General features: G+C 36.8%; 1 protein-coding gene across 2 annotated transcripts in view; it reads left to right on the top strand.

The window, feature by feature from the left end:
- Window positions 1-21231, top strand: part of VWA8 (von Willebrand factor A domain containing 8) — a 394275-nt gene that overhangs the window by 91357 nt on the left and 281687 nt on the right. For both annotated transcript variants that reach the window (NM_015058.2, NM_001009814.2), the window contains exons 10-12: window positions 1276-1407; window positions 3717-3851; window positions 3940-4017. In NM_015058.2, the coding sequence (NP_055873.1) occupies window positions 1276-1407; window positions 3717-3851; window positions 3940-4017 (345 nt within the window). The remainder of the gene's footprint in view (window positions 1-1275; window positions 1408-3716; window positions 3852-3939; window positions 4018-21231) is intronic.

Here is a 21231-nt window from a genome sequence, read left to right as displayed (position 1 = left end):
TGTAGTTTTGATATAGCTAGCTGGAATGAAGTGGTGTAGTCAATGTTAGAACGTTGATAATTGGGCCACATCAAGAATCAATGGTTCTAGCCTTTTTTTTTTTTTTTTTTTTTTTTTTTTTGAGACAAAGTTTTCGCTCTGTTGCCCAGGCTGGAGTGCAGTGGCACAATCTCAGTTCACTGCAACCTCTGTCTCTGGGTTCAAGGGATTCTCGTGCCTCAGCCTCCCAAGTAGCTGGGACTACAGGTGCGTGCCACCATGCCCAGCTAATTTTTGTATTTTTAGTAGACAGGGTTTCACCATGTTGGCCAGGCTCGTGTCGAACTCCTGACCTCAGGTGATCCGCTTGCCTTGGCGTCCCAAAGTGCTGGGATTACAGGCATGAGCTACTGTGCCTGGTGGTTCTAGCCTTTTAAATCCAGTTCAACAAATATTGAGACCCCTATAGTGTAGAAAGCACTGTACCATATGCTGTGGAAAATTGTTATAATAATTTTAGTTAAGCTATTCACATAGCTGACAGCAGAATGATGGCCAAGAAGTTCTGTTTTCATGAATTTCAGGTAACACATTAACTTCGATTGATTTAAAGAATAAACCAATATGGGCCTATTTCAGCATATTTTGAAGGGTCTCATCATCTCCTTCTAGGAAGTTGATTGTCAAGAAATGTAAACTATGAACTTCTACCAGGTCAGGAATTCAGTGATTCCATTTCTTGTCATTTAGTAAATTTTAGGGACTATTTTAATATGATCTTTAATAATTATTGTAAGTAGAATGGTATTAGTAGGAATAGAAAAAAATTTTCGTTAACTTTTTTTAACCTCTACTTTTTTTTTTTCCTTTTTTTTTTTTTTTTTTTGAGACGGAGTCTTGCCGTTTTGCCCATGCTGGAGTGCAGTGGCGCGATCTCGGCTCACTGCAAGCTCCACCTCCCGGGTTCACGCCATTCTCTTGCCTCAGCCTCCCGAGTAGCTGGTACTACAGGTGCCCGCCACCACGCCCAGCTAATTTTTTTTCTATTTTTTAGTAGAGACGGGGTTTCACCGTGTTAGCCAGGATGGTCTCGATCTCCTGACCCTCTGATCCGCCCGCCTTGGCCTCCCAAAGTTCTGGGATTAACAGGCCTGAGCCACCGCCCTTGGCCTAACCTCTACTTTTATATAATAATATAAAATGGATTTCACTTGTAATTAAGGTGTAATCTGTCAGATAGCCAATGTTAATGCTAAAATGAAAAGTAAATTGCATGATTTTCTTGTAATTTTACAGCGCTTTGAACTTCAAGATTCAGGAAGCTCTCTACTTCCTAAAGAGATTGTAAAAGTAGAGAAGATGATGGAAAACCATGTGTCCCAAGCTTCTGTGACCATCCGGATTGCAGATAAAGAGGTGACCATTAAGGTAATTAATCACAGGTTTATTCTTTCTATGATATACCTTATTCTGCCTGTTTTTATGACCTAAATTGGGTTTATGATCTCCTTGTAAGTCTTCTCTCTTGATAGTACTGCTTCTGTCGGTATCTATATGTCTATGTCTCCAGAGTCATGTGTGCTTATAAACTGGAAAAGTTCAGGAGAAACATAGGGAAAGCCTTTCATCAAAAATTCAAAGTTGACCTGTGGGAAAATCAAGTCACAGGCTGATTACTGACAGCATTTTGTGCTATGAGTCCTTGGTAAGAAATAGTGTTTTCAAACATTTGAGCTGCTACAGAGACCTATTTTCAAGTAAAATCTTTCTTAGCTATGTGAAACGGTTTAAAAAGGATCTGCTCTGGTTGAATTGTTTTTAGAGAGGGAAATAATATTTGGTCATAGAGCTCCATCTGCATGTATATATGTTATATATATATCAGCTCCTTCTATATATATCTATATGTGTATATATACACACATTTTATGGAGTCTTACTATATTGCCCAGGCTTGTTTTGAATTCCTGAGCTCAAACAATACTCCTGCCTTAGCCTCCTGAGTAGCTGGGACTACAGGCACATGCCACTGTGCCCAGCTCATGATAAACTTTTTTGTTTTAATATTTGATATTATTAATATTAATTCATGTTACTGTACTTATTCATTGAACTGAATATTGATTATATCCACCATGAGCTAGGTTCCATATTATGAGTTTACTGTGTACTATTTACTGTATTTGTCTCTGCATATATTACACGATTTAAATCCCGCAAGATCCATTAAGGTAAGTTTTATTATCTCCATTTTGTAGATTAGAAAACTGAGATGTAAAGAGGTTAATGATTCACCCAGAGACAGCAGCTAGGAGATGGCACAGCTGGGATTTCTAGACAGGGACAGTTCCCCACTATACTCTCTGTTTTGTTCAGATGAATGGTTCATCTAGCTGATAGTTTAGGATAGAGGCAGACGAGTTAAGACTGCATTGGAATGACTGGGGATATGGAGAAGAAAGTAATACTGGGATTCAGGAGACGGAATAGGGAAAGCTTCAGAGAGAAGATGAAGCTTGAGCTAAGCCTGCAAGAATAATATAGGATTTTTCAAGTGGCTCAGGAGTGGATAGAACATTTTTGGCAGTTTAAACAATATGTTCAGAAGCATGAGGTATGAACAAGACTTCATTATTTGCTTCCCTTTGGTAATGGCTTTTTAACCTCATTGCCTCTAGTCTCTTCCAGTTAGCTTTCCATGTTGATACCAGGTTAAATTCTTAAATGCAAATCTGATCCTGTCACTTCCAAACTTAGAATTCTTTGGTTCGTGTGGTATATAACATGATCCAGCCCAGAGTCCTCATCAGAACATGGCTCCTTGGGAACTAATAGTGGAGGATAAATAATAAAAGGGGAAGACAAAAAATAAAATGAGAAGTAGATGTAAAAGATGGGAAGAGAGAATATGTGAACAGATGCCTCTCAGTGGTAAACTAAGATAAACCTGAAAAGGATTTGTGGACTTGACTTTTAGAAATCAGGAGGTCATTGGTGACTTTAGAGATTCCAGTGGACTAACATTAAATTCTGTGCTTACAACTAGAATTTTGGGAAAAAAATTTATTCTCCAGTAGTAATATCTTTACTATAAGTTATAAATAGCATTAAGATGACATGATTTTTATGAATACATCTGATAATGTGGGACTTTAATTTTAGGGAAATAATTGATTTGGAAGATTTGTAATAATGATCATCAGATCTATTAAATGAAAAAATAGTTGCTGCTCTATTGAAATATCAAAAACAGTAAAGAATTAAATTGAGCAAGCTATTAGTTGGAGGCTTTTAAGTGGCAGTTATATACTTTAAGTTACTGATATTTTGAGAAAAACATGCATGTTTTACACACACACACACACATATACACACACACACGCGCACACACACACACATATATATATATATATATTTTTTTTTTTGGGACAGAGTCTCGCTCTGTTGCCCAGGCTGCAGTGCAGTGGCGCAATCTTGGCTCACTGCAACCTCCGCCTCCTGGGTTCAAGCGATTCTCCTACCTCAGCCCCCTGAGTAGTTGGGATCACAGTTGCGCACCACCATGCCCAGCTAATTTTTTTGTATTTTTGTAGAGATGGGGTTTCACCATATTGGCCAGGCTGGTCTCGAACTACTAACCTCAAGTGATCTGCCTGCCTTGGCCTCCCAAAGTGTTGGGATTATAGGCGTGAGCCACCACATCTGGCCATGTTATATTGACCTCTCTTTAATTATAGGTGCCAGCCGGGACCAGGCTATTAAGTCAACCTTGTGCGTCAGACCGTTTCATACAGACTTTGAGCCATAAGCAGCTACAGGCTGAAATGATGCAGTCTCACATGGTTAAAGATATATGTTTAATTGGAGGAAAGGTAAGAATGACAGTCTCACTGCAGACTTTTAGTTTCCTGGCTTTTGGTTATTTTGACTTACCTCTTGAATAATTTTTTCCATTTGTAGGGTTGTGGAAAAACAGTGATCGCTAAGAACTTTGCCGATACCTTAGGATACAACATAGAACCTATTATGCTCTATCAGGTACAGTGTTCATTTTTAGCTGCACTTGGACTATAAGCATATATGCTTAGGCCATCAGCAGAATTTATGGATATCTTCTTGTTATGACCTGTGTTTTTTTATATAGGTAAAGAACCAAAATAGTAATAAAATTATTCAAATTAAAGTGCAATTATAATTCTTTGGAGCTTTTGAAAGTACATTCTAGGATATCTGATGTGCACAACATACCAGGGGCTGTTTTTCAAAGATATTTATTTTCCAGAGGCCTGGAAGGGTAGGGGGAAAGGAGGAGTGAAGAGAGGTTGATTAATAGTTATAAAAATACAGGTAGGTGGGAGAAATAAGACCTACTGTTTGATAAATAAGTAGAATGACTATAGTAGACAATAATCTATTGTATATTTTAAAATAGCTAGTAGTTAATAATTCAAATGTTCCAGCATAAAGAAAAGATAAATGTATAAGGTAATTGACACCTTAATTACCCTAATTTTTAAATTTCACATTATATGAATGTATCAAAATATCACATGTGCTGTGAAAATATGTACATATATTATGTGTCAATTACAAAGTGAGATTCATTTTATGTGCATGTCCCCACACAGAATACATTTACTAGTAATTTGGAAATCTAAACAAAATAGGTTTCAGCTACAGTGGGAGCTAATTATATATTCACTGAATAGATTATTTTTTAAATGGTGACAAAATATATATAACATAAAGTTTACCACATTAGCCTTTTTTTTTTTTTTTTTTTTGAGATGGAGTTTCACTCTTTTGCCCAGGCTGCAATGCAATGGCACAATCTCGGCTCACTGCAACCTCTGCCCACCCCGGGTTCAAGCAATTCTTCTGCCTCAGCCTCCTGAGTAGCTGGGATTACAGGCGCCTGTCACCATGACTAGCTAATTTTTTTGTATTTTAGTAGAGACAGGGTTTCGCCATGTACAATTCACTGGCAATAAGTACATTCACAATGTTGTGTAACCATTACCACTTCCTTTTTCCAGAGCTTTTTCATCATCCTAAACAAAAACTCTGTACTCATTAAACAGTAGCTCTCAGTTTTTCTTTCCCTCTCAGACCCTGGTAAACTCTACTTTCTGTCCCTATAAATTTGCCTATTCTAGGTACCTCATATAAATGGAATCATATAATTTTTGTCCTTCTTGTCTAGTTTATTTTACTTACCATAATGTTTTCAAGATTTATCCATGTTGTTGCATATATCAGAATTTCATTCCTTTTTAGGGCAAAGTCATATTCTGTTGTATGTCTATACCACTCTTTGTTTCTCCATTGGTCTGTTGATGGACCTTGGGGTTGTTTCCTTTAGACTATTGTAACCTTTTGGCTATAGTAAGTAATTCTGCTGTGAACAGTGGTATACAAGTATGTATTTGAGTCCCTGCTTTCAGTTTTTAAGGTATATACCTAGGAATGGAATTATTGGATCATATGGTAATTCTGCGTTTAATTTTTTAAGGAGCCAATAAACTGTTTTCCATAGCAGCTGCACCATTTTCATTCCCACCAACAATGCACAATGGTTCCAATTATTCTACATCCTCCCTAACACTTTTCTTTCTTTTTTTTTTTTTTTTTTATAATCATCATCCTAATGGCTGCGAAGTGGTAATTCACTGTGGTTTTGATTTGCAGTTCCCTAATGACTACTGATGCTAAGCATCTTTTTCATGTACTTACTGGCTATTTGTATATCTTCTTTGGAGAAATACCTATTCGAGACCCTTACCCATGTCTGTCTTATTTATTTTTTCTCTTGATTTTTATTTTAGATTTGTGGGTACATGTGCAGGTCACAATTTACATGGGTAAATTGTATGTCACTGAAGTTTGCTGTATAAATGATTCCGTCACCCAGGCAGTTAAACATAGTATCTGATAGTTTTTCAACCCACAGCCCCCTCTCAAGTAGTCCCTATTGTTTGTTTTTCCCATCTTTATGTCCATGTGTACTCAATGTTTAGCTCCCACTTATGAGAACATGCAGTTTTGACTTTTTGTTCCTGTTAGTTCACATAGGATAATGTCCTCTAGCTACATCCATGTTGCTGCAAAGGACATGATTTTCTTCCTTTTTATGGCTGCATGGTTTTCCATAGTGTATCTATGCCACATTTTCTTCATCTAGTCCACTGTTGGTGGGCACCTAGGTTGATTCCATGTCTTTGCTGTTGTGTGTAGTGTTTGTATTAGTCAGGGTTCCCTAGAGGGACTGAACTAATATATATAGACAGAACTAATATATATAGTGTGTGTGTGTGTGTGAATATATATATATATATATATACACACACACACACACACACACACACACACACACACACAAATAGGAGATACACACACACACATATATATATATAAAGAGGAGTTTATTAAGTACTAACTTACACCATCACAAGGTCCCACAATAGGCTGTCTGCAAGCTTGAGGAGCAAGGAGAGCCACTCCAAGTCTCAAAACTGGAGAATGTGGACTCTGATGTTTGAGGGCAGGAAGCATCCAGCACGCGAGAAAGATGTAGGCTGGGAGGCTAGACCCGTCTTGCCTTTTCATGTTTTTCTGCCTGCTTTATATTGGCTGGCAGCTGATTAGATGATGCCCACCAGATTAAGGGTGGGTCTGCCTTCCCCAGCCCACTGACTCAAGTGTTTATCTCCTTTGGCAACACCCCCACAGACACACCCAGGATCAATACTTTGCATCCTTCAATCTAATCAAGTTGACACTCAGTATTAACCATCACAGTGCTGCAATGAACATATGTGTAGAACAGTTTATTTTCATTTGAGTATATACTTAGTAAGGGGATTGCTAGGTCAAATGGTAGTTCTGTTTTAAGTTGTTTGAGGAGTCTCCAAACTGCTTTCCACAGTGGCTGAACTAATTTACATAGCTGCCAGCATTGTGTAAGTGTTCCCTTTTCTCCACAACCTCATCAATATCTGTTATTTTTTGACTTTTTAATAATAGCCATTCTGACTGGTGTGAGATGGTATTCATTGTGGTTTTGATTTGCATTTCTCTGATGATAGTGTTGATGAGCCTTTTTAAAATATATTCATTGGCTGCATGTATGTCTTTTGAGAAATGTCTATTCATGCCCTTTGCCAATTTTTTAAGTGGGGTTGTTTTTTCTCTGTTGAATTGTTCTTTATGTTATTAGACCCTTGTCATATGCATAGTTTGTGAATATTTTCTCCCATTCTGGAGGTTGTCTGCTTACTTTGCTGATAGCTCCTTTTGCTGTACAGAAGCTTTTTGGTTTAATTAGGTCTCACTTGTCAATTTTTGGTTTTGTTGCAAGTTCTTTTGTGGTCTTAGTCATAAATTCTTTGCCAAGGCCCATATTCAGAACAGTATGTCCTAGGTTTTCTTCTAGGTTTTTATGTTTTAGGTCTTAGATTTAAGTCTCTAACCTATTTTGAAGCAATTTTTGTATATGGTGAAAGGATTGGTTCCAGTTTCAATCCTGTGCCTATGGCTAGCCAGTTATCCCAGCACCACTTATTGAATAGGGAGTCCTTGCCCTGTTGTGTGTTATTGTTGACTCTGTCAAAGATCTGGTGGTTGTAGGTATGTGGCTTTATTTCTGGGTTCCACTTCCCATTCCATTGGTCTAGGTATCTGTTTTTGTACCAGTATCATGCTGCTTTGGTTACTGTGGCTTTGTAGTCTAGTTTGAAGTCAGGTAGCATGATGCCTCAGGTTTTGTTGTTTTTGTTAAGGATTACATTGGCGATTCAGGCTGTTTTTTGAGTCTATATGAATTTTAGGATAGTTTTTTCTAATTCTGTGAAAAATGATGTTGGTAATTTGATAGGAATAGCATTTAATCTGTAAATTGCTTTGGGCAGTATGGCCATTTTAACAATTGTAATTCTTAGGAGCACAGCATGTTTTTTTCACTTGTTTGTCTAATCTCTGATTTCTTTCAGCAGTGTTTTGTAATTCTTGTTGCAGAGAAAAGATCTTTTACTTTCTTGGGTAGCTGCATTCCTAGGTATTTTATTCTTTCTGTGGCTGTTGTAAATGGGATTGTGTTCTTGATTTGGCTTTCAGTTTGGATGTTATTGGTGTATACAAATGCTACTTATTTTTGTACCTTGACTTTGTATCCTGAAACTTTACTGTAGTCACTTGGCACTTTTAGGAGCCTTTTGGTGGAGTCTATAGGGTTTTTTAGGTGTAGAATCATATAATCTGTGAAGAAAGATAGCTTGACTTCCCCTTTTCCTATTTTTATTTTTTGGTCTTGCCTGATTACTCTGGCTAGGACTTCTAGTACTATGTTGAATAGGAATGGTGAGAGTGGACATCCTTGTCTTATTCCAGTTGTTAAAAAGAATGCTTCTAGCATTTTCCTGTTCAGTATGATGTTGGCTATGGTCCTTACCCATGTTTTAATTGAGCTTTTATTTTTTTAATTGACTTTTTGTTGTTGAGTTATAGGAGTCTTTTAATGTATTCTGGGTATAGAATTCATTCTCCACATATATGATTTTCTTTTTTTGAGATGGAGTCTCGCACTGTCACCCGGGCTGTAGTGCAGTGGTGCAGTCTCGGCTCACGGCAACCTCCGCCTCCCAGGTTCACGCGATTCTCCTGCCTCAGCCTCCTGAGTAGTAATATTTCATGTGCCATTGCTTTGAAATCATATGGAGAAGGTCTTGAAGAAAAAAATATTAATTTCCTTTTTGATTCCATCTTCATTTGCTATTATATTATTTATATAATTATATATAACATGAATATTTTCTTCACATTAAAATAAAAACTCTCATTCTAATGAAAACTGGAAATAATTTGTCATCAATTTTTCCAAACAGTACTGTTTCTGTGTCAGGTTTTCATAGTTAGTTTTATACTGTATGTTTGAGCTATGAAATTTATGTTCACTTCATGCTGCTGTTTTTTAAAAGACTAACCAAACAAAAGAGTATGTGTATATCTAATAATTCAGATCTCATAGCTACACTGGAAGGCCTCCCAAAGTATCCTGCCTTTGAGTATGCTATCTTGTTATGTAAAAGAATTAGTTTAAGAGTCTGAGAACAGATTTTCTCCTATATTTCTAGAGAGTGACAATAAACTCACCAAAACATTATTTTATTTTAATGTTTTTCAGTTTCCTGTTCAGTTTATTAATGCATGGATGAATAAGGGTGGGAAGATACTACAGTTAAAGTTAATGGCAGGACTTTCTATTTCCTGATACACTTTTGAGTTACAAACTCAGTGTCTTCTAGTTTCTGTCACAGAATAAGGTCATTTAGTCATGTCTTATCAGTCCTCTCTCTGAAAAATACAGATGATGATAATTGAAAGGCACATAAGTTTCCCGTAAAAACATTTACCCATCCTTTGTACATATCCTGTCAACCTTTTAGATGTCCTGCAAAGATTGGGAAACAGTAGAGATAAGCAAACTAAGCACATTTTCTGAAAACTCCTTTTCTTTTTTCCCATTTTGCTTCTCTGCTCATTAATTTTTAGAGAAAATTTTTAGAGAAAAGAGTTTCCTAGAAGTATAGACTTTGGAAAGGGATAGAGAAATATAATAACTGTAATATGTTTTGGAGGTGAATTTGTTTCTTTTGCTATATAGCTTCTTTCCATGTAAATAATCAGTTGCTTTTTATTATAGAAACCAAGCCCCTGAGATCAAATATAAGACTCCTCTGTGGGACACAGGAATTAATAAACTTAAAGAATGAATTTGGTTTGTATAATAATATAGTGCACATTGATGAAAAAGTTCCAGAGGTTTGATGCAACATAGAGAATTTAGTGGGAAAAAGTAGATACACCATCTGTTTTCCTAGAAGATGTGGAGACTTCCCTGTTATTTGTACATGTATAAAGCTACACTTAATCTGTGGTTTTTGCCTTATTTTTAGACTTGATTATTTTTAGGACTGCATTTCATATGAAGTAAAAGGAAAACAGAGCTTTAACACAGATTTGAGGCAGTACGTAAAGTAAGTTTTATAATAGGCTATAAAAGTCATAAATCATTTGGCTCAAGTGTTAGGTCAGATTCTTTTAACTGATTATTCTTTTTTTAGGGTTGAAACCAGTGATTTCATAGTGTTGAAGAAATACAAGTTATTCTTTTCCTTCACAACCAGATAAGGGCATATTTCCAGATTTCTTTCTACATCATCATAAATACACTAGATCTGAGATCTTTTCCTTCTGATCAATTACTAGTTAGATTAAACACCAAGTCAAATTTAATCTAAAATTCAAGTGCACGTAAGTTTATGGGACTTTTAGTGAAAATAATTGTGGTCTAAAATATGTTGAAATCTTAGTATCATCACTGACCTCTTAGCTAAGTTTTTCTTTCTATAGCTAAACTCAGACCAAATCCTTTCCCCTCTCTTCCATCTAATCTGCAGTCCTCACTTCTTGTTTATGCAAATATAGTGGAAATATTTTTATTCTTTTATTCTCTCTCCTTTGTTTTTATTGGTCTGTGTCTTGGATTCATTGCTGTGCCTCTTATTTTTGCCTTGACTTCGTGCTTTTCTCTTATGAAGATTTCAAGACATTTGTATTCATTTAAGTGTTCTTTATGCAACGTTGGACCTTGGAGGCTTTTTTTTTTTTTGACGCTGACTTTTTAAATTTTTTTTTTTTAAGAGACAGGTTTTTGCTCTGTCCACCAGACTGGAGTGCAGTGGCGCAGGCACAGCTCACTGCAGCTTCAAACGTATGTTCTTGAGTCATCCTCCCACCTCAGCCTCCTAAAGCTCTGAGATTACAAGTGTGAAGCACCCTGCCCAGGCGGGGCTGATTTTTTATATGAGTCTGTAGCTCATCTTGTTTTCTTGCTTTTTTATTTTACTACAGTCTGTCACCCTTCCTGTCTTCTTAGTATTTTTTTTTCCACAAAGAATAGCTCTTACAATGCTATCTAAGAATTTACTTACTTCAGCTCCTACAGATTTCTTTAATTATAAAGTTTATTTTTCAAGAACCATGTATATACTGTTGATCACATCAGAACTTTAAAATGGTTGACTCTAGCAATCCTTTTCAAATCTCAGGCTTACCAAGGCTTCTGTCTCATATCTTCTTTAGTTTCTCTCTCTCTTTTTTTTTTTGAGATGAAGTCTCACTCTCACTCTGTTGCCCAGGCTGAAGTGCAGTGGCATGATATTGGTTAACTGCAACCTCCGCCTCCCGGGTTCAAGTGATTCTCCTGCCTCAGCCTCCCGAGTAGCTGGGATTATAGGCCCACACCACCACACCCGGCTAATTTTTGTATTTTTAGTAGAGACAGGGTTTTGCCATGTTGGCCAGGCTGGTCTCAAACTCCTGACCTCAGGTGATCCCCCCACCTTGGCCTCCTAAAGTGGTGGGATTACAGGCCTGAGCCACTGCTCCTGGCCCAGTTTCTCTTTAATAATGATATTGCTTTGTCGCCTGCCTCTTTTATGTAGAATATTTTAAATTTAAAATACATTCCAACCTATCAGACTATAAACTTTAGTGTCTGTATTAGTTAGGATTTCATAGAGAAACAGAACCTATAGAGATTTATTGTAAGAAATTGATGTGTGAGATTATGGAGGCTGAGAACTCCCATGATCTGCCATCTGCAAGCTGGAGAGCCAGGAAAGAGGTGGTGTGGTGGTGTAGTTCTAAGAGAAGCCTTGAAGGGCTGAGAACCAATAGAGCCAATAGTATAAGTTCCAGTCTGAGTAAGGAAGACTAATATCCCAGCTCAATAACACATAGAGAAAGCAAATACTGCCTTTCTCCTTTTTGTTCTACTCAGGCCTCCAACTGATTAGATGAAGCCCACCCATATTGAGGAAGGCCATCTGCTTTACTCAATCTACCAGTTCAACTGCTAATCTCATCCAGAAATACCTTCACAAACACCCCTAGAATACTATTTAACCAAATATCTGAGCATCCCACAGCCCAGTCAAGTTGACACATAAAATTAACCATCACAGTGCCTAAAGAGTTAGCAGAATGAAATTTCTAATTTGAAGTGACATTTTCATTAAATGTCATTTCAAATTCCTTGCCTATATAGTGGGAGAATGCTATAAGAGGATCATAAGTATTTGTAATATTATTTGCCATAATTTAATAAATTAATGAAATTACAATGAATTTTAGTGTTACTCATACTTGTAAAATTATAAATATTATACATTGTATAGAATAGTTACTTTAGTAAGTTTCATCAGGGTACTAATAAGCAGGTGGCAATTGCTTACACAGGGAATTTTATAAATTAAATTGTAAAATTACAACCCTTATCTTAGTAAGTTACTTCACAAGTGTACTTTATTGGAAAAAATATGATATGGATGCTTCTCTGTAATACATCGCCATTTCTGGAAAATGTAACTCAAATTTATACCTAGCTAATTGTAAGTCATCATTGTAACTGTTGCAGATGCATATGTATATTAACGCTTAACAATTCTTCATTTTTAAAAATAAATAATGAAATAAGTAAAACTAGTATATAATGAAGAAATCTTATCTAGGCAATTAGCTTAATTTCTTCCCTTATCACATTTAAAAAATCTTTTAGCACTTATACTTTATTTTTATGTCAAAGTGCCAGAAACTTTGTTATCCGTATTTTCCAGCTTCAAAAGAGAATTGAAAGCCTCTTGATAATGTCTAGTTGATAATGTCTACCTAATATATACTTCAAGTCTCAAATACACAGTAGTATATAAAGAAGCAGTTTTGCAGATTGTAGCTAATCACTTAAGTAAAACACCTGTCTATTATTCTAACAAAAAAAGATATCCAACAAATATATGATTTAGACAATAGATTGAATTGGGAGATGCTATTATAATGGGAAGGTTTTGTGGAAGTTTCTTTCTTTTTTTTTTTTTTTTAATTTTCATTTTTTTGAGACAAGGCCTGGCTATGTCACCCAGGCTGGAGTGCAACGGCACAATCTTAGCTTGCTGCAACCTCCGCCTTCCAGGCTCAAACCATCCTCCCACCTCAGCCTCCCAAGTAGCTGGGACTACAGGTGCACACCAGCAGGCTTGGCTAATTTTTTTTGTATTTTTGGTAGAGATGGGGTTTTGCCATGTTGCTCAGGCTGATCTCGAACTCCTGGGCTCAAGCAGTCCTCCCGCCTTGGTCTCCCAAAGTGTTCGGATTACAGGCGTTAGCCACTATGCCTAGCCTTGTGAAAGTTTCTAAGAAAAACCATCTATGGCTGTTATTGAGAACTGAATACTCTTTCCATTTGGAAACTTAATTCAGGACATATTTGGAAAACAACTCATTCTGTACCCCAAATAGTTTGAATAGAGAGTTTGTGCACATTCAGTTATTGCCTTTCTAGTCTTCTTGTGAATATTTTGTTTTGTTTTGTTTTGTTTTGTTTTGATCAAAGTCTCGCTCTATCACCCAGACTAGAGTGCGGTGGTGCGATCTCAGCTCACTGTAGTGTCTGCCTCCCGGATTCAAATGATTTTCATATCTTAGCCATCCGAGTAGCTGGGATTACAGATGTGTGCTACCCCCGCTGGCCAATTTTTGTATTTTTAGTAGCGATGGGGTTTTACCATATTGGCCAGGCTGGTCTTAAACTCCTGGCCTCAAGTGATCTGCCCACCTTGGCCTCCCAAAGTGCTGAGACTATAGGCTTGAGCCACTATGCCTGGCCAACAAGTAAGATTTTTGAATGAGAACAGAACAAATTGGTAATATTACCATATATCAGGGTTGACAAACCTTTTCTGTAAAGTGCCAGATAGAAAATATTTTTAAGCTTTGTGGATCATGCAGTCTTTGTTAAAACTTCTCAACTCTGCTATTATAGTAGAAAAGCAGACAAAGGCAGTACATCAATGTATGAGTGTGGCTGTGTTCCATCTTATCACATTTTTGGTGGGGTTTTTAAAGTCACGTTTACTGAGGTATAATTCATACATAGTAAAATTCAGTCCATTTTGACAAACACATTTGGTAGTAGGGCCAGTACCACAATTGAGATATAGGGCATTTCCATCACCTTGAACAATTCCCTTGTTCCCTTGTGTAGTCCACCCAAACCCAGCCCCTGGCAACCACTGCTTTCTATCCCCATTAGTCTTGCCTTTCCAGAATGTCATATTAATGGGATTATACATTATGTGCCTTTTACATCTGGTTTCTTTCACTTATATAATACATTTGAGAGTCATCTATGTTGTTGCATGTATCAGTAGTTTGTTCCTTTTAATTGCTGACTACCTTATCACATTTTAATTTATGTTTATATCAGTATTTCTCTTTCTTCTACAGTAGCTTTATTTCTTTTTTCTTCTACTTCATATATATATTTATATATAAATATATTTTATATAATATTAATATATATTAATATATATTTATATATTATATATTATATATATATAAATAAATATATATATATTTAAACCCGTGGTGGGCCATTGGGTGGGTACCTTGCTGCCGCCAACAGCCAAGCCATGGGCTACAGTAGCTTTATTTCTGGTGCTCAGCCCTTCTCAATGAATTTGTCAACACTAGCTTTCTAAGCTTTCCACTCATTTCCAGCTTGGGATCTGCCCAATCCATCCTTACAATACTGATTTTTGTTCTTTCTAATTTTCCCCCTATTTCACATTTTTTAATCACGACTCACAGTTTGCAAGATAATATTGAAATTATGCTGTTTAGCACACAGTGCTCTTTTTTATCTGGCCCCTGTAAGACCTCAACTGTGCAACTAACATTTACCTTATAACTCCAGCCTTAAGGGATGACTTGCAGTTTCCCCAACATGACTTGCTGCCTACCACTCCATGCTTTCTTGCACTCTTCATGCTGCCTGAACCACCCCTCAGAGCCTGTAGGCCAATTTGCTAACCTTTAAAACTTAGCTCCACTGCCTGCTCTGAATTTCTGTAAATCTTGAATTTAATTTATATGTACTCCCTCTTTGTTTCAGCATCACTTAATGGCCTTTTTCATGGCACTTATCATTCTGTACTGTAATAACTACTGTATTTCATTAGCTCCAAGAGGCACTCAATTGTAAGATGCACCACTAAGAAAGAAAAAGTACTTCAAATTAAATTACGATATAAGACTTTATCACTTAGAATTTTCATATTTGTCTTAAAGAACTCTTCCAGACTTAATTTAGATTATATTCCTCCTGTGCATGCAGAAAAAGGAAAATATGAATATAATAAATAGGAAAATATATATAAAATAAAAATAAATATAATAAATTTATAAATAAATATAACAATAAAAAATATTTTGAAATATTTTTAAAACTTATGCACCATCATAGTCTGACTCTTCTAAAGCACTTTATGATTCAGTTGCAGATGTTCATGTTGTTTCACGTATATTCTCTGTGTGTTCCTTTGGTTGGTCAGGAACAGAATGCTCTTCTATTGTTTCCCCAATTGTCTTCCAAGCTACTGACAGCCATTCTGCTGGTTTTGATACTGATATTTTTAAAATTTTAACCAAAGGTACTGACAGAAATGTTTTTAGGCAACAACTAGAACTCATATTCTTTTCCCAAATGGAAAAGAGTAATTTGTTGACTAAAACATGGATGGATTACAGTTGTTTCTTTAAGCCACAAGCTAACAAACATACTAACAAACAAGCAGAAACAAGTGCACATATATGTACACAATGGTAACTGACTCTTCAGCAACTGTTGTTAAGATTCTATCAATTGAAGCTGCACCCTGATTTCAGAGATATTAAAATATAAAACATGTATATCTTGGAATTGATGAAACAGCAATTTGTCTCTCCTATCGTTTGTAAGCTCCTTGAAGGCATGGACAACACGCTTTTCAACTCTGTTTCCTTCATGGACAATAGATGTCTAGTTGAAAAAATGAAATAGAATAGAAAACAGAAAAACCACAGAAAAGATCCGTGTAACTAAGAGTTGATTTTTTTGAAAAGATAAAATTTACAGACTTGTAGCTAGATGAATAAGTGAAGAGACAAGATTATAAACAAAAGAACAAACATCACAACTGATAGCACAGAAATACAAAGGCTCATGAGACTACTATACATCAACAAACTGAATAACTTAAAAGAAATTGGTAAATTCCTAGAAATATGTAACCTACCAAGACTGAATCATGAAGAAATGAAAAAATGAGAACAAATCAATAATGAGTTAGGAGATTGAATCGGTAATCAAAAACCTGCCACCAGAGAAAATCCTATTATGTGATGGCTTAACCTGTGAATTGTACCAAACATTTAAAGAAGAACTAAAACCAAACCTTTTCAAACTTTTTAAAAAAATAGAAAAAGAGGGAATACTTTCAGACTCGTTTTGTGAAACCATTATTACCCTGATACCAAAGCCAGACAAGCACACTACAAGAAAAGAAAATTACAGACCAATATCCCTGGTGACCACAGATACAAAACATAATAAAGGCCATATATGACAAGGCCACAGCTAACATTATGCTCAATGGTAAAAAGCTGAAAGCTTTTCCTCTAAGATCTGGAACAAGTCAAGGATGCCCACTGTCACCACTCTATTCAATGTACTATTGAAAGTCCTAGCTAAAGCAATTAGGCAAGAAAAAGAAATAAATGTACCCAAATCACAAAAGATGGAGTAAAACTTTTTTCTGTTTCCAAATGACATGATCTTATATATAGAAAACACTAACGATACCACCCAAAGCAATACAGATTCAATGCAATCAATCTCTACCAAAATTCCAATGACATTTTTCACAGAAATGGAAAAAAAATACTAAAATTCATATGGAACCACAGAATACCTCAAATAGCCAAAGCAATCTTGAGAAACAACATTTGAGGCACCACACTACCTGGTTTCAAAATATTCCACAAAGGAATAGTAATAAAAATAGCATGGCATTAAAAACAAACATATGGATGGATGGAACCAGAATAGAGAGCCCAGAAATAATATACTATTAATGGCTAGTTAGTTTTCAACAAAGGAGCCTAGAACACATATTGGGGAAAGGATAGTCTTTTCAATAAATAGTACTGGGAAAATTGTATATCCACATGCAGAACAATGATATTAGACCTTTATCTCATACCGTATACAAAAATCAACTAAGAATGGATTAAATACATAAATGTAAGACTGAAACTATAAAACTACTAGAAGAAAAGAAGGGGGAAAAGCTTGCAGATATTGGTCTGGGTAACAGTATTTTGGAGATGATACCAAAAGCATAGGCAGCCAAAGCAAAAATAGATAAATGAGATAAATGCAGATAAATGAGATAAATGCATCAAACTTAAAAAGCTTCTGCACAGCAAAGCCAACAATCAACAGAGAAGAGTCAGTCTACAAAATGGGAGAAAATATTTGCAAATGACAGCTGACAAAGAGTTAATTTCTAAACTGTAAAAGGAACTCAACTTAGTAGCAATAAAACAACCCAGTTTTAAAATGGGCAAAGAACCTGAATAGACATTTCTCAGGCATTTTAAAATATACTTGTTGGACATACAAATGGCCAACAGGTACATATAAAAAGTGGTCAACATCACTCATCATCAGATAAATGCAAATTAAAACCACAATTAAATATTGCTTTACACCTGTTAGAGTGGCTAATATCGAAAAGATAAAAGGTAACAAATGTTGGTAAGCATGTGGAGAAGAAATGCTTGTACGTTGTTGGTAGAAAGGTAAATTAGTACATACATTATAGAAAATAGTATGGAGGGTCCTCAAAAATTAAAAACAGAACTACCACATGATCCAGCAATCCCACTTCTGGGTGTATATACAAAGGAAATAAAGTCAGTATCTTGAAGGAATATCTGTGCTCCCATGTTTATTGTGGCATATTCATAATAGCCAAGATAGGTAATTAACATGTTTTCATTGACAAATGAATAAAGAAAATATGCAGTATATACAGAATGAATTATTATTCAGCCTTTAAAAAGCAGAAAATCCCGTCTGTATTAATCCATTTTCACACTGCTGATAAAGACACACCCGAGACTGGGAAGAAAAAGGTTTAATTGAACTTATAGTTCCACATGACTAGGGAGGTCTCAGAATCATGGTGGGAGGCAAAAGTCACTTCTTACATCACTGGAGCAAGAGAAAATGAGGAAGAAGTGAAAGTGGAAACCCCTGATAAATCCATCAGATCTTATGAGACTTATTCACTACCACGAGAACAGCACGAGAAAGACCAGGCTCCATGATTCAATTACTTCCCCCTGGGTCCCTCCCACTACATGTGGGAATTCTGGGAGATACAATTCAAGTTGAGATTTGAAGGGCACATAGCCAAACCATATCACTGTCATTTGCAATAATGTAAATAAACCTGGAGGACATTATGCTAAGTGAAATAAGCCAGCCACTGAAAAGCAAATACTACATTATCTCACTTAAATGTGAAATCTAAAAAATCAAACTCATAGAATCTGGTGGGGTCTTTCATTTGGCTTGCTGCTGGAGTCCTTAGGTGGACTGGCCTGGTGCCTGACTCTGCAGAGAATAGGGTGCTGGTTGTCAGGAACTGGGGAATGGGAAAAAGGGGAAAGTGTTAGTCAAAGGGTACAAAGTTTCAGTTAAGCAGAATGAATAAGTTCTCAAGATCTAATGTACATTATAATGATTATAGGTGATAATACCATATTGTATACTTAAAAATTGCGAAGACAGTAGACCTGAAATGTTCTTACCACAAAAAATATGTAACTATGGTTTCTATCTCTTTGTTGAGCTTTTCACTTTGTTTGTATATTGTTTTCCTGATATCATTTAGTAGCCTGTGTTCTCTTTAGCTCACTGTTCCTTTAAGACCATCATTTTGAATACTTTGTCAGGTAGTTCGTAGGTCTCCATTTATTTAGTGTCAGTTCCTGGTGCTTTATTTTGTTCTTCTGGTGGTTTTGGTTCCCTGATTGTTAGTGATCCTCATGGGCTTGCATTGGTGTCTGTGCATTTGAAGAAGTGGACATCCAGTCTTTATAGACTGGCCTTGATAGGGAAAGCTTTTTACCAGCCAACCCAGCCAGACATTCTGGGCAGACCATCTGGTGGGGTCTTTCATTTGGCTTGCTAATGGAGTCCTTAGGTGGACTGGCCTGGTGCCTGACTCTGCAGGTGAGTGGGCCTATCAACTAAGTCTCTGAGGGTGGCTCTGAAGCCTGAGTTCATGGAGAACAGCCTGAACTTGGGTTGATGGGACCTAACATAGTGCTATGGCAGACCTTGAGGCTGAGTCTTCAGAGTCCAGTGTGGCACTATGGTGGTCCTGGAACCAGGGTACATGGGTATGAGCTGGGTCCTGGTCCCTGAGTCTAGGGGGCTGCCTGATACCAGGGCCTGCTGGGCTGGGCCTGGTGACTGGGTCCACAGGGAACTACATTATAGTATGTACTTGGCTCCTTATTTAATTAAAGTGTACTTTTTTAGTAATGGATAACATCTTTTGTGTTAATAAACTTAATTATCATGAGGTATTTATTAGATTTATAAAGACACACTAGGAGGCCTTTGGGCATGTGTATAAAAATAAACATTACAGTAAAGCCAAATCCATTAGTCCAAGAAAGAAAACAAAGGTAAAATGACCAAGGAATCCCACCAAATAAGGAACTCCTGTCTGAAAGGTATTTCTTTTACTATTCTTGATGATCGGTGAAGTTGAAGAGGGAAGAAACTTCAAATTTGGGAACTCTGCATGGAGTAACTCCAGACATAAGGACATTATGTAATGAAGTCATAGTCCTGCTGGTAGCAACACATTGCTGTGTTTGATCATCTCCATTAGGCAGCACTTCTGTTTTCTTTTTCTTTTCTTTTTTTTTTTTGAGACAGAGTCTCACTCTGTCACCCAGGCTGTAGTACAGTGGCGCGATCTTGGCTCACTGCAACCTCTGCCACCCAGGTTCAAGTGATTCTCCTGCCTCAGCCTCCCAAGTAGCTGGGATTACAGGCACCTGCCATCGTGCCCGGCCACTTTTTGTATTTTTAGTAGAGACAGGGTTTCACCATATCGGTCAGGCTGGTCTTGAACTCCTGACCTCATGATCCACCGGCCTCGGCCTCCCAAAGTGCTGGGATTACAGGCACGAGCCACCGTGCCTGACCTATGCACTTCTGTTTTCAATGTACTTTACAGTAATTTTGATTAGGAGTCTTAGGGAAATCTTTTGAGAGTCCTCAGGATTTTATAGTCATTGAAGACCACTGCAAATGTGAGGAGTTTGCCAGAGGTTAGTGACGTTAGTGATGAAGTTACATATCTTATAGATATATCTATATATCCTTATGATCCATCCTTGTGGGAAATATATTGAAAAAGAAAATAATGAAGGGTATAACTTTGATTTGATTTTAAAATTTACAAATATTTGCAAGTAGAATATATTTTGTGAACATATTTTTTCCCCTGGAAATGAAAAGTAAATATATGCTTTTCAGTTTTATGACCTAGATGCCTTTTATGATTCCTAAATGCTTAGTTTTGTATTCTTCCCCTATTAAAGAAAACCCCAGTTTTTCAGGATCCACATCACTTTCTGAATACGTAGAACTTTATTGCTGATTTTAAAGCCAGTCTCATAGTTAGAAACAAGGCTGTTTGAAGTGGAAGCCATTTGGCAGAACCATAGAGATAGAGCCAAAAATAACAGAGAAGGAAAAGGCAATCTTTTACAGAGCTCAACTCATGCCTCCAGGAATGTGGAGTTGAAGTATCTTGGGATTTGAGTTGGTAGAAGCTGCTAAAATCCTGATTTTACACTCTATTGACTGCTGTTAAAAGGTTAACAATTTAAAGAGGAGCCTTAGCCAGCCTAGCACCTCTGATGCTTCATGTTTATTTCTAGTAGCTCCCTTAAGCTCTCCCAGATTTAGGTAGCTGCAGACAGGGAGCCCCTGCAGGAGAGGAATGATAGTCACTATGCTATCACATAGGTGGGAAGGCTGCCCTGTGTATTAGTCTGTTCTGTCAGTGCTATGAAGAAATACCCAAGACTAGTTAATTTTAAAGGAAAGAGGTTTAATTGACTCACAGATCTACATTGCTGGGGAAGCCTCAGAAAACTTACAATCATGGCAGAAGGCAAAGGAGAAGCAGGCACCTTCACTAGGTGGCAGGAGGGAGTTGAGTGCAAGCAGGGGAAATGCCAGATGCTTATAAAACCATCATATCTCATGAGAACTCACTCACT

The sequence above is a fragment of the Homo sapiens genome, chromosome 13 (genome assembly GCF_000001405.40).
Source record: "Homo sapiens chromosome 13, GRCh38.p14 Primary Assembly".
NCBI classification, from domain to species: domain Eukaryota; kingdom Metazoa; phylum Chordata; class Mammalia; order Primates; family Hominidae; genus Homo; species Homo sapiens.
Note: the sequence above shows the minus strand (reverse complement) of the source record. Positions and strands in the feature narration are given on the sequence as shown.